Below are 24,394 nucleotides of genomic sequence, written 5' to 3' on the forward strand. Positions count from 1 at the left end.
ATGTGAAAGAATTATAATCTAGAAGAAAATGTAGGAACAGTACAGAAATAGGAAAGGTTTCCTTAAATTTTATATATAAATCACAATCCATGTAGGAAAAGATTAATGTTCAGAATATGTAAAGAACGCCTGCAGAATCATAAGAAAAAGACAAATAGCCCAAAAGAAAATGGCCAAGACAATGAACTGACAAGAGTTGAAATGTGAATGCTTAGTAAACATAGGAACAGATGCTTTTATCAATTTGCATGGATTTAACTATGAGTATTTTAAAACTTCAACTGACTTAAAGCCTAAGGACATTTATTTTCCTGCTTGATAAGAAGTGTAGTGGTAGGAAATTCAAGAGTTGGTTTCAGTTCTGTGAACGTAGTAAGGGTTCTATGCCAGCATTTAAAAAAATAATTCTGTTGAATTTTCTAACGGTTGGGAGGAAGGGTGAGAGGAGAAAGGGCACTCTTCCTCCCACACCTTCTGTAGAAGGTGTAGAAGAGAGAAACATATTTCCAGAAGCTTCTAGATTTTCCCATCTGTCCTCATGGCCAGTCACTGACAGAGCAGAATGAAATTACCTGATTGGCTTAATTAGGATTCCTCCTCTGGACTGAGGAAGGGATGGCTTTCTCTTAGTATATTATTTCCTGCCCAATTCCCGAGCAAAATTGAGTCTGAGCAAAATTGAGTCTTTCTGTTGGCCAGTGTATTAGTCCATTCTCACACTGCTATAAAGAACTACCTAAGACGGTAATTTATGAATAAAAGAGTTTTAATTGACTCATAGTTCTGCAGGCTGTACAGGAAACATGGGTGGGAGGAGGCCTCAGGATATTTACAATCATGGCAGAAGGCAAAGGGGAAGCAATCATGGTGGGGCAGGAGAGAGACAGCAGAAAGCGGGAGGTGCCACCACCCCCCTCTTTTTTTTTTTTTTTTTTTTTTGAGATGGAGTCTGGCTCTGTTGCCCAGGCTGGAGTGCAGTGGGGCGATCTCGGCTCACTGCAAGCTCCACCTCCCTGTTGCCACCTACTTTTAAATCTCCAGATGTCATGAGAATTCACTCATGTGACAGCACTAGGGTGATGGTGCTAAACTATTAGAAACCACCCCTGTGACCCAATCACTTCCCACCAGGCCCCTCCTTCAACACATGGGGATTCCAATTCAACATGAGATTTGGGTGGGGACACAGAGCCAAACCATATCAGCCAGAAGAATGGATTATGGTTATCAACCTTCCACTAATATAGATTGAACCATATGAAGTTGACAAAAATAATGTGAATATATGAAATATATTCTAATCACATAGAATATGAAATGCATAATATACAAATAATAACATGAAATGTATAAAATATAAATATAGAAACACAAGTGTTTAAAAAACACACATTGAAAAGTATATAATTTGCATGATATAACAAACATTGAATTTATGTAATAGTACCTCTGGGGAAGCAAAGAGGGGACTAGGATTGAGGGTAAGAGTTCAACTGTATTCATATATTTAGTTTTCAACAGTAAAAAAGCAAATATCTGAACTGAAAAATGTAAATAACAATTCATTTTTTTTTTTGCCTCTTTGTAAAGCTTTTAAATGTGCACGGAATGGTCACGAGGATTTTGGTTGAAAATGAAAATTGGTAGAGGGCAACTTGGCAACATGTGAAATTTTAAATGTATACCTATTGATCTAGTACTACTACTTTGAGGCATTTATCTTAAATGAATAGGACAAATGTACAAGGAAATTTATTTTGACTTTTTTTTTTAGTAATGGTAAAAATGTTTTTATAATGGCTGTGTTAGTCCGTTCTTGCATTGCTATAAAGAACTACCTGAGCCTGGGTAATTTATAAAGAAAAGAGATTTAACTGACTCACAGTTTTGTAGACTGTACAGGAAGCATGGCTGGGGAGGCCCCAGGAAATTCACAGTCGTGACGGGAGGTGAAGGGGAAGCAGGCATGTCTTATATGGTCAGGGAAGGAGGCAGAGGAGAGCAGGAGGAGGTGCTACACACTTTTAAACAACCAGATCTTGTGAGAACTCACTATTACGAGAACAGCAAGAGGGAAATCTGCCTCCATGATCCACTCACCTACCACCAGGCCCCTCTTCTAACACTGGGGATCATAATTTGACATGAGATTTGGGTGGGGCCACAAATCCAAACCAAATTTTTTGGTCCCTGGCTCCTCCCAAATCTCATATCCTTCTCATATTTCAAAATACAATCATGCCTTCCCGATAGTCCCCAATAGTCTCAACTCATTCCAGCATTAACTCAAAAGTCCAGAGTTCAAAGCAAAGCAAGTCCCTTCTGCCTGTAAAATCAAAGCCAGTTAGTTAGTTACAAGATACAGTGGGCGTACAGGCATTGGCTAAATACTCACATTCCAAAAGGGAGAAATCAACCAAAACAAAGGGCCTGCAGGCTCCATGGACTTCGAAACCCAGCAGGGCAGTTGTTCAATCTTAAAGTTCCAAAATAATCTCCCTTGACTCCACGGCTCACATCCAGGCCACACCAACACAAGGGGTGGGCTCCCAAGGCCTTGGGCGGCTCCACCCCTGTGGCTTTGCAGGAGTCAGCTCCCATGGCTGCTCTCAAGGGCTGGTGCTGATTAGGGAAATGGAAGTTTGCACTCAGGCTTTATTCAGATCCGTAGAGAAGGAGAATAATTCAACCTTCCTGGGTCAGGACAGCACTTATGGCCCAGTGGAAGAGTAGGGCATTGATGGTAGAGGGAAGGAAGTCGAAGTTAGAGAATTAAAGAAAACCTAACATCCGTAAAGTTCTGCAGGTATTTAAAAAACAAAACCAGGAACCCTGGTAAGATGCTGACAGTTTACTTGAGCATGTACCCTATGCTTTTACTGATTCAGTTACTAATACAAAATTGATCTTTTCACCTAAAATTATCAGCTTAATTTTTAAGGATATTTTCTACGGAAACCTCATTCTGACTTTGTAATACATATCTGTGGAAATGTATGCTTTACTTTGGAGACTTTTTCTTAGAGCCTGCTTTTCTGGAATGAATGAATTTCTATAGATAGCATGGAAGACATATCTTGAGATAAATTTCTTTTTTCCCCTTACTCTTTTCCACATGGTTTTTATTTGTTTAACATATGCCCAAAATAAAGGAAGATGTGACTCTTTTACTGTCTTTTATTTTTATTTAAGATGCCATTTTGTAACAGTATTACACAATAATAGTAGAGGTAGTGATACCTAGTTAATAAGACCTAATACAATTTAAAGTGGGAAAGAATCATTAATTAAGATTCTAGCTTGTGAATATAAAAATGCGAATATTTGCGGTTTCCTTTTATAACCCATTGCAATTTAGTTTGTAATTTTACCACTATACTAAAATTAGTTTAATATTACCAATGGCCATTGTTTTCTTCTCCGTTGATCTCATTAAATCCTCATGGTACTGGACTTTGCATAATGTTGTTGTTCCTTGACTTCCACGATGTTGATGTTGTGCTTTCTTAGTATTTCTTACCTTTCTAAGTGTTTGCCTCATCCTTAGACTACTTGAGACTCTTTCTGACTCCCCCTAAACCCCCATTTTTGTCTGAAAACTGTGATACTTCTTATAAAATTCTGGTTTTATATTCCCAAGTGCTTGTATTCCCACTCATTTGCCATATCGTTTCCTCAAACTAAGTGAATCCAAGCTTGAATTGTTCCAGTTCACCACCCATTTCATATAGTTTGGCCACTAGCCCCAAGAATAGATATTTTGGCATCATCTTTAGTTCTTCCTTTTCAAAATTCCCTTTGACCAAGCGTTCACCATGTGTTTCTCATACCCATACATTCATCCCCAATTTCCCTAATACAATGCTGTGTGTTGTGATTTGTCTTAGATTCGGTTATCAGCAGTATTTATTTATTTATTTTTATTTTATTTTATTTTATTGAGGAGTCTCGCACTATTGCCCAGGCTGGAATGCAGTGGCGTGGTCTCGGCTCACTGCCATCTCTGCCTCCCAGGTTCAAGCGATTCTCGTGCCTCAGCCTCCCAAGTAGGTGGGATTACAGGTGCCTGCCATCACGCCTGGCTAATTTTTGTGGTTTTATTAGAGACGGGGTATCACCATGTTGGCCAGGCTGGTCTTGAACTCCTGACCTCAGGTGACCCGCCCACCTCGGCCTCACACAGTGCTGTGAGGGTGTGAGCCACTGCGCCCGGCTTATCAGCAGTATTTAAATAACCCTTGTTTCTATGAATGTAGTGATGAGTTTCTATATACAGTTTTGTGTTGTGAAGCCTGAGGGGAAAGTGAGTTCCTGGATAAGTCTTGTCATATTTATTTTGTGTTTCTAGCACTGTTGCACAGCACATATTAAGTGTTTAGAAAATGTTTTTTGAATGAACAGCCCAAAGACTAAAGGAAGAGCTTCCTTAGTTCTAAATTCTGTGAAATGAGTCAGTTTGAATGAAGCTAATGTTTCTTTTGTTTTACACCATTTACTATAGAGTGCAGTACTTCAGTTGTTCATACTTGTTGATATTGTTACAGATATTCTAATGGTTCTTTTTACAAAATCAAATATATATACAAGACATTTTTTCGTTTCTTTTTAGGTTTTGGAAGGAAGGATGTTGTAGAACACTTACTACAGATGGGTGCTAATGTCCACGCTCGTGATGATGGAGGTCTCATCCCGCTTCATAATGCCTGTTCTTTTGGCCATGCTGAGGTTGTGAGTCTGTTATTGTGCCAAGGAGCTGATCCAAATGCCAGGGATAACTGGAACTATACACCTCTGCATGAAGCTGCTATTAAAGGGAAGATCGATGTGTGCATTGGTAAGTATCATTTGATGATATCTAAATTTTAAATAAAGGTTTATTCTTACTTTTTTTGTGGTACAAATAGTGTTTCCTGAGAATAGGTAAGGAAGGGTTTATTGCTTCTTGTAGAAGCAGTTCTTTTCCATCAAAAGGTAAACAGAGAGATGGTAATCTAAAGTTACTTAGGGGAAGACTCACAACATTAACTTTCCAAATGCAGTCAAATGCCTATTGATGTGGAACTCAATTTTAATGGATTACTATTGTCAAATTTAGTTAATTTATAGTCTCTTTTAAAGACTGGACATTTTCTATCCTACCATCAATGAGAGCCATTATAAAGTACAAATTCTACTGAGTTGGATGACATTTGAACACTTGAGGTTGATTCAAGGAAACTCATCTAGTATAGTAGTCCCCCCGCTTATATGGGGTTTTGAGTGTTTTGAATACAGTAGTTCAGAACTTAATCGTTTCAATATGTGCCATAGTCTAGAGAAAAAGCAATTTCAAACAAATTGGACTTTTCAATCATTTTAGGTATCTAGATGAAACGAAGCTGTATTCAATCAGCATTTTGTTCTCTCATATATATTCACATTTTGCTTTGCTGTATACAATTTTTTATTTTGAAATCTAAAAAGCTTCTAGAGGGCAAGTATAATTTCTCTTGAGTGTATCATCTGTTTTTTGATACTTGAGATGATGGATGTTTGTTTAGCCATGGCAGGTTGATTTACGTAATTGTCTTCCCAGATGTCATCCACTTCAGCATAATCAGTTTTTTAATGATGCAACTAAAATATACATGACATTTTAAAAGATATAGTGGTGGTGCTTAGTAATGGTTAAGATTATTCCTCCTTATAGCCATCTATTGCAGCTTCTAATATATTTTTCAATATTCCTCAAATTATTGCAATGCCTGATATAAAACTATTTTTTAAAAAAATCACATTTTCTGTCATTATCCTTTGCTACTTGAGCATCCACTAACATGACCTTTGGATATCCTGTCCTTTCAGTTTTTTGACATCTTCCAGTTTCAACTGACTCTCCCATTTCCTCCTAAGTCTCTCACTAACATAGCCACATCCTGGACCAAGTCATTACATAAAACTACCTTGAGAAGCTTCAACTTATAACATCCTCTCTCTGACTACAAAGCCTCTTATGTTACTTGCTTTTGTAAATGATAACTATTATTGAGCTTGGAATGTGTTTCCTACGTAGTCTTCTAGGCTTTCATCTTCTCTGCTGTAACTGCTTCTTGCTTCACCTTGTTGTCACAGCCACTGGATTTTTCTCAGTCATTAGTCAGAATTTTATACTGTTCTCACTTTCTTAAAATATTATCCTTTCCAGGCTTCAGTCTTCTGTTTTCCTGCCTCTACATCTGAAGTTTTCATTTTATCAGTCCTTTGAATATCTTATTGAAATTAGTATTTCTCGCCTCCTCCTCTTAATCCCTCTTTCAAAAGTCCATAATGTAAATGCTCTTTTTATCTAGGTTCTATTGAAATAAAAGACTAGATATGGGGCTTGAATTTTTAATGAATGGATCCCTGCAGCACTCTACTTCCTCAGTTCACAGTAGGCTTTGGCACATATTGTCTTCATTCTGTTTAAGTTCTTGTGCCTTATAAAAGTTGAGGGAAGGGGAAGGGCACCTTTGAAACTATACTCAAAATATAAATGAGGATATAGTTGCTATTAAAGTATGTATCATAGTTATTATGGGAGTCAAAATTGGTTGTAAACCCCGGTATACTTAATTAGCTTGCAGAAACCTCTTAGGAGGTTTATTCTGAGGTTCACTGAAACCTGTAATAGCTTATATATCTTATTTTCTGGAGTTGAATATGGTTAAGGAATTCTGAGATTTTTCTCTGTAAGGCAGAGTTCTGCTTTGGGATAGCTGGATAAAAAAAGTGGGAAGCCTTGTTTTTTTTTTGTTTGTTTGTTTTCCTTTTGCTGGAGTCTAGTAGTTTTTGAGAGATTAGTATACAAAATTGATTTTTAAAAGGTTTTTGCCTAGATGATGAAATACTGGCCTGATTTTTATAAAGATTAATCATATCTCTATATGTGGGGTAGAATAGCAAATACATTTGATATTTTTGAAAAGCTAGAGCCCAGCCAAGCCACATTACCACCAGCTTACAGGAGACATCAGGGCAGGTTGCTGTAGAGCACATGCTCCAGGCTTATACCCTGACCCCACCAGTTTCCAGCTGTGTGAGGCCATGGGCCACTTTCTTGGCCTCTGTCTTTCCTTACATGTAAAATGAGAATACTGTTCTTCACAGTGTTCCTGAGAGGATAAGCTAGTACATATAAAATATTTAGAAGAGTACCAGGTACAGTGTACATTCAGTGAATATTAATTGCCATTATTAATTACTATTATTATTGTTGGTGCTAAAATCTCAGCCTGAATTATGCTCCTGTGTGGTACAGAATTCCCATTTCCTCTGTTTGTCCTTTGTTGACATTTCTTAAAAATGTCCATTTAGGGGCAGGCGCGGTGGCTCACGTCTGTTATCCCAGCACTTTGGGAGGCTGAGATGGGCAGAGCACGAGGTCAGGAGATCGAGACCATCCTGGCTAACACGGTGAAACCCCATCTCTACTAAAAATACAAAAAAATTAGCTGGGTGTGGTGGCGGGCACCTATTGTCCCAGCTACTTAGGAGGCTGAGGCAGGAGAATGGCATGAACCCGGGAGGCGGAGCTTGATGAGCTGAGATTGCACCACTGCACTCCAGCCTGGGCGACAGAGCGAGACTCTGTCTCAAAAAAAAAAAAAAAAAAAAGTCCATTTAGAAATCTTGAACCCATGTGTTTCTTTCATAGATGCTATTTACCATCAAAAAGAAGAAAATTCAAACTGAGATTATTTTAAAAATCAACTTGAAATGCTTGTATAATTAAACAAACTACTTAAGACTGTGGTCTTGGGAATGTTGATGACAGTTTTTATACTGTAATGTTGAATTGAATTTACTTCAGAAATCAATACATTTTCTGCCTTTAGAACTTATTTATCTTTGCTTCTCCCTACCCCTCAAATATAGTCTCCAAAACCACTAAATAGCTTTTCTGAATATATGCTATATGATTTTTTTTTTCCTTTTTTGAGACAGAGTCTTGCTCTGTCACCAGGCTGGAGTGCGGTGGCGCGATCTCTGCTCACTGCGAACTCTGCCTCCTGGGTTCAAGTGATTCTCCTGCCTCAGCCTCCCAAGTAGCTGGGACTGCAGGCGCATGCCACCATTCCCAGCTAAGTTTTGTATTTTTATTAGAGACAGGGTTTGACCATGTTGGCCAGGATGCTCTCGATCTCTTGACCTTGTGATCCGCCTGTCTCAGCCTCCCAAAGTCCTGGGATTGTAGGCGTGAGCCACCGCACCCAGCCTGTATGGTTTTTTGAGACTGTTAGTGCTTGAGAATTTCATTTTAAAAGCAAATTATAAGCATACTTTTCATGGAGTCTGATATAAGATCTGGGAGTCGGAGGGTGCGGTGGCTCACTCCTGTAATCCCAGTACTTTGGGAGGCCGAGATGGGTGGATCACGAGGTCAGGAGATTGAGACCATCCTGGCTAACACAGTGAAACACCGTCTCTACTAAAAATACAAAAAATTAGCCGGGCGTGGTGGTGGGCGCCTGTAGTCCCAGCTACTGGGGAGGCTGAGGCAGGAGAATGGCGTGAACCCGGGATGGGGAGCTTGCAGTGAGCCGAGATTACACCACTGCACTCCAGTCTGGGTGACAGAGCAAGACTCTGTCTTTAAAAAAAAAAAAAAAAAAAAAAAATCTGGGAGTCACAATGGATATTTGTGATTTTTTTCATTTTGACTAATTAGTATCCAATTCTTTTTCTGATTTTGGAGATTTTAAACTGTGGGCACTCCTTGCTGAGAGGAATGCGGAAACTGGTAGTGTCAGATCTTCCTTCCTTCTACTTCTTTGCAGTCAGGGATTGTCTTGGTTTGTCCAGTCATGCACTTCATTTTGTAAATGTAGAATTTTGAATACAAAATCTTAGCTATAGTAAGGAATCATATATAGCAGCAGATTTTTGCTTTAGTGTGGGCAGTGGCCTGGTCATAATGTTTCCTACTAAAAGACAGTTGTGCTTCCTACTCTTAGCTCTACAGCTTCTTATGTGTTTCTAAGGTTGGTCCTCTACTCTCCTGTCATTTCAGTCTAAGATAGACAATGGTTTCTGTTACTTGCAAATTAGTATAATTGATAACAGAGATCTTGAGAAGGTTGCTAAATGGAAGTTGCAGAATGGGGCTTCTAAACTGATAAATCTCTTGAATCTTTATTTAAGTCTCACTGCCCTCACACAGTTTACATGTATACCACACCTCCATCTCTCCTTATTCTCTACAATTCTCAAGAGTGAAGGAGACAGAGTATGTTCCCTTTGGAGGCCTCTTCCAGGTGCCTCTCATTAGGGAAGAGACAGCTTGCTGGCGTCCACAGCAAATCATTCTAAAGATAACAGAGGTGTATGGTGTTCCAACGCATGTGGGATTGTCACTGTGGAATACCCCAACATCTAGACATGAAGCCCAGCAAACCAAGTGAAAAATAACAGCCCATCTCAGCCAGAAGGGATGATTAAGACAACAATCAGAATACATATCCAGGACTGCTAAAGGAGTCAGGTAAATACCTGAATAAAAAAAAAATATCTCCCAGAGAAATTAAAGTATAAAGTGGGGAAGAAATTTCCTGGGGCCAAAACTCAAAACCGAAATAAAAAAAAAATCCACCACCTAATTTTTTTTTCAGAGGAAACAATTTAGTAGATGAATTAAAGACCATGTTAGTAGCCTGGAAGCTTACGTGTGAGATGTACAGAGACAAATGTTGAAACATGGAAATCATGACGAAAAAGGTAAATAAATCTGGGAACATCAACGTCATTTTAAACCTTACACGTGATATGAGTTTCAGAGGCAGGGGAAAAAAGAAAAAAAAGTCTGATGGAAGAGATCAGTAATAATTAAACAAATGATAAGAAAGAGAAACCTATCTTGAGATTGAAAAGGCTCAGGGAGCTCCATATGAGATTGATGAGAAAAGATAAACTGAGTAAGATGTATATTGCACTTTTCCAGAAAGAAGGAATAAGTTGCCTACAGAGGGAAAAAAATTAGGCAAAGGACTTTTCATTTACAATATTGACAGCTTGAAGACAATGGAATAACCTTCTAAAGCCTGCTGGAAGAAAAGGATTAAGTTGTAATTTCCTTGATAAAGAACAGTTCTGCAGCCTTTTGGGAGTAAGAAAGGCTGAATCAAGCAAGTGACATTACATTAGAGAAACAAAGCTCCTGCAACTTTCTTTCTCTATACTTTCAAACAATTCTTGGTTTAATTTGTCTTATATGCAGAGACTGAGGGGATCCTCACTGAATATCTTTCTTGGGAGCGCAAAATTCAAGCTGCTCTTTAAAATCTAACAATTAGGACTTAAAAAAAATAACTGTTTTCTGGCTGAATGGCATTACGTAATAGTGGTTGGAGTCAAAGAGACCTGTTCCTTGAGTGAGTTGTTTACTTCTTTCAGCATTAAAATGGGAATGAGGGTAATAGCTGTATGTCATACAGTTGTTAAGAGGATTAAATGAGATAATATACGTGAAACACCCTTGTACAATAGCTGTATATTTTATATATAATAATTAGAAAGTACATGCTCATTATTTGGCAACTGCTTTTATTATCGTGAAATAACATGATTAGAAATAGTTTTCTTCTTGTATTACATTATATTGTTCCAGATACTTTTATATTTACTGAAAATGCAAGAAAAAATAGAGATCTGATGGTATTTTTCTAAAAAGTCTCTAAGCAAATTGGCTTCTTAGGGGAAATTAAGCTGACTATATAAAGATAGTATTATTTAATACCATAATTAAAGTTGGTTATCTAAATGAACTAATGAAAGCAATTTGTTGTAATTCCCATTTTTCCCATCCCAGTTCAGAACTTCAATTGATTATTTAATATGTAATAGGATTTCTGCTGTTTTTTTTCCCATTATTTATACTTCAGGGACTCCTTGTTATAAAATTATATTTTATGATTCTGCTGAGAGAGAGCAAAAATAAAATTATGCTTTATCTCTTCTTCCCCCTCCTTTGCCTTGGAAAAGTAGGGGACATACCTTAGCTTGTGATTATTCAACTAGGTAAAACTCAGATTCATTCAGTCAAATGTAATATATCAACCCAGATAAGATCTTGGTTCAGAAAAAAATGTTAAAACAGCCAGTATTATAGAATTTATATTTAAATTATAATATAGTCTATATAATTTATATCTAAAACGTGTGTGTGTGTGTGTGTGTGTGTGTGTGTGTGTGTGTGTATGAAGTTAGGTGGTAAATAATCCAATTGACTTGTTAAGTTTTGGGCTAATAATATGCAGAGTTATCAGCAATAGGGAAGACTGAAGACTTTGCTCCTCTTAGAGTAATTGAGGGTCACCGTGGTCTGCTGCGAAGAACAATGAAACAGGAGTCGGCGTACCTGGAGAGTACTGTTGGGTCTCCCGTTAGAAAGAACCATATACATATAATGTTATGCTTTAAAAACTTTTTATAAGAAGTTACATGCTATATGTGGTAGGCAAATAATGGTTGAAAGATGTTCATATCTTAATTCCTGGAACCTGGGAATGTTAACTTTACATTGCTAACAGAAATTAAGGTTACAGATGGAATTTTGGTTGCTAATCAGTTAATTTGAGATGGGAAGATTATCATGGATTGTCTTGGTGGACCCAAAGTAATCACCAGATTCCTTAGAAGTAGAAGAGGGAGGCAGAGAGAAAGTCAGATGATATAATTTCAGATGGATTCAAGCCACCATTGGTGGCTTTGAAAAGAGAGAAAGGGTTCCCTAAACTAAGGAATGGGGGTAGCCCCAAGAAGATGGAAAAGGCAAGGAAGTAGGTTTTCATGAAAGTCACCAGTAAGGAATTCAGCCTTGCCGACACCTTGATTTTTTTTTTTTTTTTTCTTCAAATGGAGTCTCGCTCTGTCGCCCAGGCTGGAGTGCAGTGGCACAGTCTCGGCTCACTGTAAGCTCGGCCTCCTGGGTTCACGCCATTCTCCTGCCTCAGCCTCCTGAGTAGCTGGGACTGCAGGCTCTGCCACCACGCCCGGGTAATTTTGTTTTTGTATTTTTAGTAGAAACGGGGTTTCACCATGTTAGCCAGGGTGGTCTCGATCTCCTGACCTTGTGATCCGCCCGCCTCGGCCTCCCAAAGTGCTGGGATTACAGGCGTGAGCCACTGCGCCTGGCCGACACTTTGATTTTAGCCCAATGAGACTTACGTCAGATTTAGGATCTCCAGAACTGTAGGAGAGTAAGTTTGTTGTTGTTATTGTTTTAAACCACTGGATTTGTGATAATTTGTTACGGCAGCAATAGCAAGCATATATTATAAAAACATCTTACAGCGGTTTTGCAAAATTTATCTAGGTTGAGCATCTCCTGAAAAGAGTAGTAGAATGTTTTCAATACAATTAAAACTGCTTTCTTGGAAATGCTTAAAGATTTGGTCACTGAGGATAAGTAGCAGTTTTTTATGTTGGCAAATATACAAGAATGATACTTGTAAGAATTCTTAAAATAATTATAAAAAAGCAGATAATGTAGTGGACTCATATTTGTGCTTAAATGATTGTTTCTGAAGTATTTTGAGATTTGGGGTAAATTATCTTACTAAGAAACTTAAAAAAAATAAATTTTGTGTCAAATTAGGTGTGGAGAGTCCTTGTCCTTATACACTTGTTTAAACTGAACATTTTCTTTGTAATCTTTGTAATCAGGTGCCACATAAAAAATGTTTGAAAGACATGTAACTTGACAACCAAATTGCTTCTTTTTTTTTTTGAGACAGTCTTGCTCTGTCGCCCAGGCTGGAGTACAATGGCGGGATCTAGGCTCACTGCAAGCTCTGCCTCCCAGGTTCACGCCATGCTCTTGCCTCAGCCTCCCGAGTAGCTGGGACTACAGGCACCCGCCACCACGCCCAGCTAATTTTTTATGTATTTTTAGTAGATACAGGATTTCACCATGTTAGCCAGGATGGTCTCTATCTCCTGACCTCGTGATCCGCCCACCTCGGCGTTCCAAAGTGCTGGGATTATAGGCGTGAGCTGCCGCGCCCGGCCCCAAATTGTTTCTTTTATCTAAAAAGGGGAATTTTATTGTCTGCAATATGAGGCATGATTAAACATTTTAGGTTGAACTGAAGACTAGGGCCCCAATATTTCTTTCTTTTCTACCTTTTAATTCCTGTGACTTTGGGCAGATTATAAGGTCTGTGCTTCTGGTGAGTCTGTTTCTGAAACACGTGGCCATTTATAAAGGTTTACTGTGTGAAGTGCTTTCAGACTGTTCCATCTCTAATGAGCTGCTTGGCCTATGGTTCTTTTAGTGACCAGGAAAACAAAGGAAAAGTGATATTGAAACCCCATAGCCTTATTTCAAATTAGACTAGGAAGAAGAAGCTTATCCAAGTTGAGAGGGATAGGTTAATGGGTTAATCGGAGTGGGGAAAGATGACAGCATTCAGCACATCATGGATATTATTGTCATAGATAATTGAATATATGACAAACTCGATTGGTATGGGAATTTGTCCTCATTAGTGTTTGTGACTGAAAACGGGATTATTTCCCTGCTCCCACTGAACCTATTGACATGAGAAAAAATCTATAGCTAGAGATTTTGCTCAGTGAGAAGCCTTGAAACCTGTATTAATGAAACAATAATCTACTTTCACTTGAATAAATGTAATCAGAAAGTAGGATACTAGAAGCAGGACATACATTCTGGGCCAAGGGTAGCAGCAGGATCAGCTTGACTAGGAGGTTCTAGAACCTAGTAGTGGAGTTAGCTAATGAAAGGTATTGTTTATAAACTAGAGGTCTCTTGTAAAGCATCAGATAAATATTTGAAGTTATAGTAAATAACTGCATGTAAAGTTGGAGACAGAAACACACCAGTCAGGAAAACCAAGAATTTTGAAGTAAACAACCAAGCCAGCTCCAAGAACTTTAGCAGCAGAGGTATGTCAGCCTTCTCATTAGAATCCTCCCTTAAAGTTGCTGTGAGGTCTTGGCTTCAAGTCCACTCTTGTTGCTAAACCTGAGATGCAAAGAATCTGATGCCCCACTTTGAGTTAGATGTTGACCCTTAATCAGTTAGCTTTAGTCTCAGAGACGTTTCCTAGTGTGGACTTGGCCCCTCGGGCCTCACCACTATACATAGGAATCTACAACTGAGAGTAAATTGATATAGCGGGGCTGGGAGCCACGTGGGTGAGGAAGAGAAGAAAGTAAAAATGAGCTTGATTTTGATTTTGGATCCCTTCGAAAATTGATTACTGTTAATATTCTTTGAACCATCTCATGCCTTCAACGAAGATCTTAATACTCTTTGTGAAAGAAGTCTTCTGATAATATGTTTCTATAGCTGTCCACAAACTCTTCTGAATTAATTCTATATGCATATACTGCCACCCAACACGTCTCCTCTGTTCATGTGCATGCTCCATTCATTGTCCCGTTGAATGTTACGTACAAAATACAAGCTAAGAGATAAGATTGCTAAGAATTTCAGGTGGTGACAGCAGAGCATTGGGGCCCTGTGCAACTGCACAGCTTGTGTGTTCGCGAAGCTGCCCATGATTAGATCACAGTATGTGCGTGTTTAAAAATGCTCCACATAATTCCAGGTGTACTTAAGTAACACCCGGACTCATCTTCAGGGCCCTCCTTGGTCTGGCTCCCGTCTACATCATGGACTTCATCCTCATGTCCCTGTAATTCCCTCCCTTTCTCTCCACCTTCCAGCTACAATGGCCTTTTTGTCTCTCTAATGCACCAAACTTGTTCTGCCTGCGGTACTCTTTCCCCAGATTTTTCACTAATAATGTTAATTCATCTGAGTTGTGCCCTGACAAAGCTGTCATAATTTCTTGCCCTGCCCTGTTTGTTTGATTACTCTTTTATCATGTTTTATTTTACACCATAGCACTTATTACCTGGAATTATATCCTTATTTAATCATACATTTACTTGTTTGTTTGCCATCTGTGTACTCTTCCCAACTTTGTGCCTTAATATAAACACAGGAACCTACTCTGCCTTACTTTGCACCACATCCCTGGCATAATAAAGCTCTGTGCTTGCTCCGAGTAAAATGCCTACTCTGTGCCAGAACCTCAGTGTGGTTTTAATTGCATTTGCCTGATAAGTAATGATGTTGAGCATCTTTTCATGTGCGTGTTTGCCATTTGTATGTATTCTTTGGGGAAATGTCTATTCCTATCTTTGTCCGTTATTAAATTGGCTGTCTTTTCATTATTGAGTTATGATAGATAAAAGTTTCTTACTAGAAAAATGATTTGCAAATACTTTCTCCCATTCTTTGTGTTGTCTTTTCATTTTCGTGATATTGTCCTTTGAAGCACAGAAGTTTTACATTTTGGTGATTTGATTAATGGTTAACATTAAAAAGTCTGTTTCTGCTTTCGTTGCTTGTGCTTTGGTATCTTATCTGAGAATCCATTGTCGAACCCTAGATCATGATTTAACTCTGTTGTCATCTAGGAGTTGTAACTGAAATGTATTTAGGTCTGATGCATTTGGAATTGATGTTTGGAGATGATGTGAGGTGAAGGGTCCAACGTCATGCCTTTGCATGTGGCTATCCAGTTTTCTCATTTAGTTGTTCATAATATTCCTTTATAATCTTTTATTTCTGTAAGCTTAGTAATAATTTACTCCCTTTCGTGTATGATTCTAGTTAATAGAGTTGTCTTTTATTTTTTCCCTAGGTCCATTTGGCTAAATGTTTGTGAGTTTATATTGTGTGTGCATATCGTTAGTTTTTTTGTTGTTGTATGGTGTTTCATTGTATGGATGTAGCACAGTTGGTGGTTGTTTAGCTTGTTTGCAGTTTGTAGCTGTTATAACGCTGGATGTATGTCTCAGCGTGGACATGTTTTTTCACTTCTCTTGGATGGATCCCTGAGAGTGGGATTGCTGGGTGGAATGCTAAGTGCACATTGGACTGTAAAAGAAGCTGCGTTGCCCTAATGGCTGAGCATGTTGAGAATATTTTTATGTACAGTGGTCATTCATGTATATTTTTTGTGAAGTGTGCATATCTTTTGGCCATCTTTGGTTTTATTTTTATTTTTTGCTGTTACTGATTTTTGAGAATTCTTTTTGTGCTGTAACAATGGGTCTTAGTTGGATGTGTGTATTGTGAATGCTATTTCCCAATCTTTGCTTTGCTTTTCGTTTTCTTAATGGTATCTGTATACAGGCAAAGGTTTTTAAGTTTGGTGAAGTCTGATTTATCAGTTAAAATAGCAAAGTATTTGGTGTTTCATCAGCGTTGGAATAATAAGATTTCTGCTTGACAATTATTCTTAGGTTAAAAGCAGTATATAGAGAAATAACATTATCGTTTTAATTACACTGTGGAAATTCAGGAAAGCAGTTTCCGGTCTGAGGGCTGCTGCTTCAAATGCTTTCTAACAACTTGCTTAGGATATATTTTTAAAGATTAAAATGAAAGAATCAGCTATTTCATGTGAAAACTTGAATATATTATAGGACTCATTTTTAAGATTTAACAGTAAAAGCCAGGTGGACTTTAACTAATTAGAAAATAATTATCTAAAATATGCACAGTTATTTCTGAGATGACATTGTTTGCCTACTATTGGCAAGTATATTTCCAAAATTTAGGGAAATAGGCTGTTTTTAATAGCTTGTTGCCTGAAATCTTTCCACAAACGAAGACTTATTAATTCCCAATACTTAAATTTTTTTTGGTTTGTGTTTTCCTTTAATGTGTTCTGTTAGCATTGTGAACATTATCTGCTTTTCAAGGATCAAAAGACTCACAGATGTTCTTTTAGCTATTTCTTCATCTTACTGGCTTTAGTAGAATTCTCATACTTTTCATATTCCCGGTATTAGGAGACAGGAAATACAAACAGATTAAAGACTCAAAGACTGGTCTTTATAGTTCTAGTATATTGTAAACTTCCTGTTCTTCTTGGCGTCTAGAAGTAGAGTAGTTCTCTGTGCACTGAGTATGTTTACTTTCTAACACAGCCACAGGATGAGGTGCCAGATTCTTAAACTGAATCAGGTAAGGTGTGAAGTTAAGCATGTACCACGTTCTCTGTGGTAGGAACTAACAATAATCTTGTCCACTTTCATACGTATTCTTATTGTCTATCACTGATGTCTAATTATATTCAAGAAACGTGTGTGAAGTGACAAAGCAGTTCACTGGAAGAAGGCTTGATTCTGTCTGACTTTTTTTTATATTACTCTGTGTTACATGGATAAGGAAGCTGAGTAATTTTCTACTTCTTGATTAGGTGATATCTTGAGATTCCTTTATTTTAAAGCAATGTGAACTTGCAGTATGTCAGACACTTCAATATTCATATACAAATATAAAACACATTTTATAGTCATATGCAAATTATGTTTAGATTATCTTCCATTTGTCAAGTAACTGCTTATTCTTCATTAGGATGGGCAGTTGAATATTGATTCTGATCATGCATTAACTTTTGGTTATAATGGGTTTTCCACAAAGGATAGTAAAACATTTTTTCTTGTTAACTTACAGATTAAACCCATGAATTGCCCCTCTTGGGAGCTGAGGAGTTGAGGTAGGGAGGGATAAGAAAAAATAAGGTGATGGTGGTAAATTTATAAAAGTTGCTGTGGATAGTTGATACGTAATATTGTAAAGGGTTTTCCCTCGAGGCCTCTCAAAGGACTTAGCCAAGCAGTGTCACTAATATTTGTGTCCTGTGTGTGAGGCAGATGATTCAGATTACCTACCAGTTTACCAGTGAAGAAGGAGAAAGTTGTTACTTTGCCACAGTCTGTAGAGCTGATAGAAAGTTGTTATAATGGAAATGTTTTCTTAATTGAGAAATGAAGGTTCTGTTCACACAGTGGGCTTCATTTAAGAATACATCATACATATAAAAGGTTAATTTCATTCTGTAAGTCTGCCAAATTAATTCTTTTAAATTATTTTTAGCTTAGCTTTTAAAACCGTATCATATTTAGCAAACTTAAGGTGGAAAATAATCTTCACCAAACCCCCTTCCCCCCAAACCAAAAAACTAACCTGTCTACAAAAATTTAAACCAAGTGTAACTTACTCCTAAAGTAATACCTCTCTGTTAATTTCCTTATAACTTCCTTTTGTGTGTCTGCTATTTAGAAAGATATGTTTCATTTCCTTTTACAAAGTCTTTTAGTTTAAAAAATTATCTGACCACTTCCATGGTTACTTGTCCTTTGATGAAGTTAACATCCTGGAACTTGGAATGGCACGGGATTGGGGATGGGGGAAAGAAATGTGGAATGAGTGTTCAACTGCCTTTGGTACATTCTTATCCCTTGATATTTATTTATTTATTTATTATTATTATTATTATTATTTTTTGAGACGGAGTCTCACTCTGTCACCCAGGCTGGAGTGCAATGGCACGATCTCAGCTCACTGGAACCTTTGCCTCCTGGGTTCAAGCAATTCTGCTGCCTCAGCCTCCCGAATAGCTGGGACTGTAGGAACCCGCCACCACGCATGGCTATGTTTTGTATTTTTAGTAGAGATGGGGTTTCGCCATTTTGGCCGGGCTGGTCTCAGACTCCTGACCTCAGGCGGTCCACCTGCCTCGGCCTCCCAAAGTGCTAGGATTACAGGCATGAGCCACTGCGCCCGGCTATCTCCTGTTATTTTAAGTATAGTATTTTGAAGGTTAACAACTTTCTGGGTTTTTTCTTAACAGCATTATTAGAAGTGATAGTTGCCCATTAAAGAAAAATGAGAAAATATACTGATGATAACTCTCACACCTTGTTTTTTGTCTATTTAGACTTGCATGGTCCAGTGTGATAGCCATTAAATTAAAATCAATTACAGTTTTAAAAATTAAAAATTTAGTTTCTCAGTTGCACTAGCCGTGTTTTAAATGCTTAATGACCGTATCTGGCTATCGGTTATCGTAATGGAGAGTGTAGACATAGAAATTTTTGTTATCACAGAAAGTTCTGTTGGACAGTGCTGTTAGACCCAGTGAACCTGTGTATACAATCCATTTTACGTAAAATGAGATCATTCCACCATATTATTTATTTATTTTTCTACTTTATGTAGTAACATATTTTATTGTCAGTGAATATTTTTATATAATCTCATTTTAAAGGCTTCTAAGAATTATTTATATAGAAATCATCATTTTTTAAAATCAGTCACCTGTTGTAGGCCATTTAGGCTATTTTTGTACCATTTTATAAACAGTAGTATAAAGAATATCCTTTTCATTACATATATGTATAAATCTTAATTGCTTTAGGATAAATTCCTGGAAAGCCACAGCTTCTTAATAAGGACCAAAGAAGTTTTAGCTACTGGAGAACTTCACTGGACCTCTTGATTTAGTTTGTCACACTGTCTATTTATATATCATTTATAAATGAGCTAGGTTAAGAAAAGTCATTTCTCACACCTTCTTTACTGTTTGCAAAAATTAGTTGAAAATTCAGTGAAGCCTTGAAAATCTGATTCACTTGGTTTTGTTTCATTAATGTCTTTCCTTTTCCTGCCAGAATACTTCCCTTCTGCATTTTTACCATTAGTTGTCCATATAAAACCTGAATTGGTATTTTTTTTTTTTTGAGACGGAGTCTTGCTGTGTTGTCCAGGCTGGAGTGCAATGTGTGATCTCGGCTCACTGCAACCTCTGCCTCCCAGGTTCAAGCAATTCTCCTGGCTCAGCCTCCTGAGTAGCTAGGATTACAGGCACCCTTGAATTGGGATCTTTTAAACAAGTCTCAGTGTAGCATTTTCATAAAAAACAAAGATGACAAAATTCCATACTTGTATCCTTAAAACAGAGAAGAGAGGCCCAGAATGAGAGTCATTGTGCCTTTGGAAATAATCTCCGCTGACACTGAGTACTCTTAACGTTGATGACTTGTCTGCTTGTGTTCCAACTGCTTTCAGGAAGGTTAGAGTAGTGTGCATTTACCTGATAAAATTGGGACTGTTTTAACAGTTATTCTGTACAATAGTGGTAGATATACACATAACATATATATATGTTATGTACTTATTAATTGTGTTTTATTAGAATTCCAGGAAAAGCACCCGTATGGAAGCTTTCACTCTTCCAAGGCCTTAAGAAATACATTGAAGATGCTTAAATTAGGTGGAAAAAGCAAAAAACTAGAAAAAAAATTTTCATATACTTTTTTACAGTGATGCAAGGCTTTACTTAATGCCCAGGTCTGTCTGTCTAATAAAAGCATTACACATTTGCATTTACTTTTAGACTCACTTCAATTGTTCAAAACAATCTATGGGTTAGGTTAGGTGCAGTGACTCATACCTCTAATCTTGGCACTTTGGGAGGCCAAAGTGGGAGGATTGCTTGAGTTCAGAGTTTGAGACCAGCCTGAGCAATAAAGTGAGATCCTGTCTCTACAAAAAATTTAAAAATTAGCTGGGGGTGGTGGCACACACCTGTGGTCCTAGCTACTTGGAAGGCTGAGGCAGAAGGATCACTTGAGTGGGGAGGTACAGGTTGCAGTGAGCCATAATCACTTCATGGGACTCCAGTCTGGGTGACAGAGGGGACCCTGTCTCAAAATACATATATACATACATACATACGTACATACACACATACATACTGTAGTTTTCAGTGAGATACATGGCTTAAGTTTGGGGTTGTATGAAAATGGTATTTGAGACAAATGGGTTGTGTAACCAGGCAGATTTTGCTTTGCATCTTTATCATGTTATCTGAAACTCATATATTATTAGAAGTATGGCTTCCCTTTGTACAGTTTTAATACTGAAATGTGGAGGTAGGTCCATATTTGAGATAAAGATGTAGGGAGTCCTTCTTACTTCTCATTCTCAACTGACCAAGCTAGAAAACTATTAAGTATAATAATTGTATTTATAGGCTTTACATTTGTACTTTACTTTTAAAAAACGTAGTGTCTTGTATTATTTAAATCTGCTAATTATCTTTTTAAAAATATGGTGGGTATTAGATTTTTCATATGTAAGCAGAATCCAAGATTAAGAATGTTAACCTTACTGTGAGTTATTTCATATTCTACTCCCTGATATGACCATATAAATAAGACTTACCAAGCATTCCCACTGTGTAGCCAAAGATACATTTATTTTGGATCAATACATCTGAAATCTGAATAACTCTTTCAGACTTTTGTGTCAAGCCTGAAAATTTCTAAATTTACTGTGGTACACATAATCATGGCTAGAGATAGAGGGCACATCTTTTGTTTTGCCTGTTTATGACACAGGTTTGAGTGCTGGTCTTTTGAAAGAATAAACTTGAGTTCTGAGGATTGAGGGAACCAGGCCAGGAAATGTTCTAGTGGGTCCCCTAAAATGGAACTCTCACTGTCATAGGTATTTTTCAAGCGTTCCCACAGGGGAACTGTGATGGGCTTATTAGGAAGAGGACATTGAATATAGGAGTGGTATACGAGGTATTAAGGACAAATATGTAGATATGCCTTTTAGAATTTACTTCTGGGGAAGAAAGCTTGAGTATTGTTCTGGGATAATCTTAGCTTGCATTTATATGGAATTTAAGATAGCAAATAAGTGCTTGGCTTTACAATTAAGTATGAATTGCAATGTATCACATACAGACTGATTTTACACATTTGCTTTGAGCTTCAGTTTCTTAATTATAAAACGGACGTTGGCTCTACTGCATAAAATTTTTATGGGAAGTTAAATGAAAGAATATAGAGAAAGCAAGTAGAGTCTCAGTAAATACTTGTTTCTTTCCACTTGCTTTCTTCTTGTATGCAACAGTAAGGTTGCCACACAAGACTATTTTTGTATTCTGACACAAAGCGGACACTCAATCAAAGCTCAGTGAAGGGCTGACATTCCCATAAGCTGCTCTTTGTTACCATCAGCGTGAATTTGTGTTACATTCTTTGTTTAGTATCCTTTGTAATTTTGTAAACTTGAGTTGTGATTTGATAAGACATGAAGCTCTTTTTTCCTCATTGTAATTTAGATTCTTTTAACCTAGTGAGTGGAGATATTGCATATAGGATTATGGAGAATCGTTAATGTAACTTAAACATTTTCCCCACAAATATTTCAATAGCAGGGGTATCGTGGTTTGCTGTAACCAAATATTAAGTGTATGAAATAATTGGTTAATATTTTTTAAAGCAGATTACTCATGAGTAAGCAGCTCTCTTTCAAGCCAAGAGACATCACAGTTGCTGTTTCTGAAAATTGTAACCCACTAGGAATGAGACAAGGAAAAGGACAGATGAGGAATTATGTTAAAAGAAAAAGGTGGTCTTTTCCTCAATGTGGGGGAAAAGTTGAGGTGGGAAGTGAAATATGTGATTCAATACTATCATTCAGAACAATTGATAATAGGATAATGTGTCAAATCCCATGGAAACACAAAACTCAGTTTATTTTTTTAATTATTTGCTTTTAGCTAAATAACTTTCCTAAGGAATGAGAATTCTTTAAGTTATATTCTTTATGTCCTTTAGATTGAAAGTACAGCAGAATGTTGGCATTTCAGTCTGTTGAATCAGTTGTCAGAGGCATAGGAAAATAATAGTAATGATATATTTATGATATACTTTCTCCTCCAGGGTTCACGCCATTCTCCTGCCTCAGCCTCCTGAGTAGCTGGGACTACAGGTGCCTGCCACCATGCCCGGCTAATTTTTTATATTTTTTTAGTAGAGACGGGGTTTCACCGTGTTAGCCAGGATGGTCTTGATCTCCTGACCTCGTGATCCGCCTGCCTCGGCGTCCCAAAGTGCTGGGATTACAGGTGTGAGCCACCGCGCCCGGCCAGTAATGATATACTTTCTTAGGAGACTAAAATTGAAAGCAGAATCAAATTATTACTATTATGGTACAGGTTTAATCCTGTTTTCCTTGGGAGGGAGGATGTTTTAAATATGTAAGTTTAAACCTTGTAACTAGTGATAAAAATATTAATTGCCAGGCTGGGCAACATGGAGAAACTCCATCTTTACTAAAAACAGAAAAATTAGCTGGGCATGGTGGTGCATGCCTGTAGTCCTAGCTACTCGGGAGGCTGAGGTGGGAGGATCAACTGAGCCAGTGATGCGGAGGTTGCAGTGAGCTGAGATTGCACCATGCCACTGCAGTCTAGCCTGGGCCACAGAGCAAGACCTTGTCTAAAATATGTGTGTGTGTGTGTGTGTGTGTGTGTGTCTGTGTGTGTATATATGTATATGTGTGTGTGTATATATATATATATATATATATATATATATATATATATATATATATATATATGAATGAATTGGTCTTCATGTTTTACACACATAAGAAATTTATCTGGAATGCTAGTAAGTCCGTGAGGCCTTGAGAGAGAGGAAGTAGAGTTAGCAGTTTAGGGAAAGATTCACAAACACTGATGAAGTGTTTCTCATGTTTATCCCTTCTTCTGTCTCATAAACAGATTGGGAAGCACCTTTTACATGTGGTCATTGTCCCTTAGAGTTGTGCAAGCTTTATGATCCTATTATAAATTTCCCTGGTCAGATTGTAGAGATACTTGCTTTATTCCTTATGGACATTTCATTTAGTTGAATCTAGTCAAGTTTAGAAAAAGTAATCTACCCCTAAATAAAAAGAAGCATAATATAGCAGTTAGGTGTGGCACAAATGAATTCATTGTTCCTAGGGCTATTATCAGTTTACCTTTATTTCAATCCAGCAGATCTTCTGTTAGCACTGTATATCTATTTTTGAAAGACAGATGAAAAGATTCTCATTGGGATACGAGAGAGTGTTTATTGAGTTCTTGTTATGTGCAAAGAGCCAAGCCGAGTTTGTATATATTGTCACATTTAATTGTAACAGCAATTCACTGTGTTAGGTAGTGTTTTATGAAAGAGGAAATTAAGATTGGCAGTGGTGAAGTAACTTGCCCAAGGTCAGACAGTTACTAAGGATTGAGCAGTATTCTAAAACTGAGGTTTATCTGATTCCTGGGACAGAACTTTCAGTCATTATTCTCTATTGAGTTTCCAGGTAGAAAGAGAGATACTTTGTTACACTCAATCTTACATTTATTCCAGTATCTGCCTTATCTTGTAATAAATTGTTATGTGAGCAGATAATTCTGATTTTACAAATGTATTGTGTCCTGGATTAACTTTGTTCATTGCAAAAAGGATAAAATTGATCTGGGATATAAAAATCTGCTATGTATATGTACAGAATAATCTATACCTAAGTTACTGCAGATGTGATGTGCCTTTTTAAAAAAAAAAAGTCTTGATTTTCTATATTTATAAGTAAACTTGACAACAGGCGCAAAATTGAATTGGAAGATTCTTTTATTATTGTAAAATTTCATGCCAGAGTTTGTCCATAAAGATTGAAGGAGATGCATTTAACTCATTAAGTCATATA

General features: G+C 37.4%; 1 protein-coding gene across 3 annotated transcripts in view, besides 2 other annotated features; it reads left to right on the top strand.

The window, feature by feature from the left end:
- Positions 1-24,394, top strand: part of TNKS (tankyrase) — a 226,435-nt gene that overhangs the window by 19,638 nt on the left and 182,403 nt on the right. For all 3 annotated transcript variants that reach the window (NM_003747.3, XM_011543845.4, XM_011543846.4), the window contains exon 2: positions 4,610-4,834. In NM_003747.3, the coding sequence (NP_003738.2) occupies positions 4,610-4,834 (225 nt within the window). The remainder of the gene's footprint in view (positions 1-4,609; positions 4,835-24,394) is intronic.
- Positions 1,925-2,044: an enhancer, noted in NCBI's record as "active region_26984". NCBI's record gives its function as "activates an Ori minimal core promoter by ATAC-STARR-seq in GM12878 lymphoblastoid cells {active_cell/tissue: GM12878}" and the evidence as "EXISTENCE:reporter gene assay evidence [ECO:0000049][PMID:35858748]".
- Positions 16,863-17,082: an enhancer, noted in NCBI's record as "active region_26985". NCBI's record gives its function as "activates an Ori minimal core promoter by ATAC-STARR-seq in GM12878 lymphoblastoid cells {active_cell/tissue: GM12878}" and the evidence as "EXISTENCE:reporter gene assay evidence [ECO:0000049][PMID:35858748]".

This window comes from Homo sapiens, chromosome 8 (genome assembly GCF_000001405.40).
Source record: "Homo sapiens chromosome 8, GRCh38.p14 Primary Assembly".
NCBI lineage: Eukaryota > Metazoa > Chordata > Mammalia > Primates > Hominidae > Homo > Homo sapiens.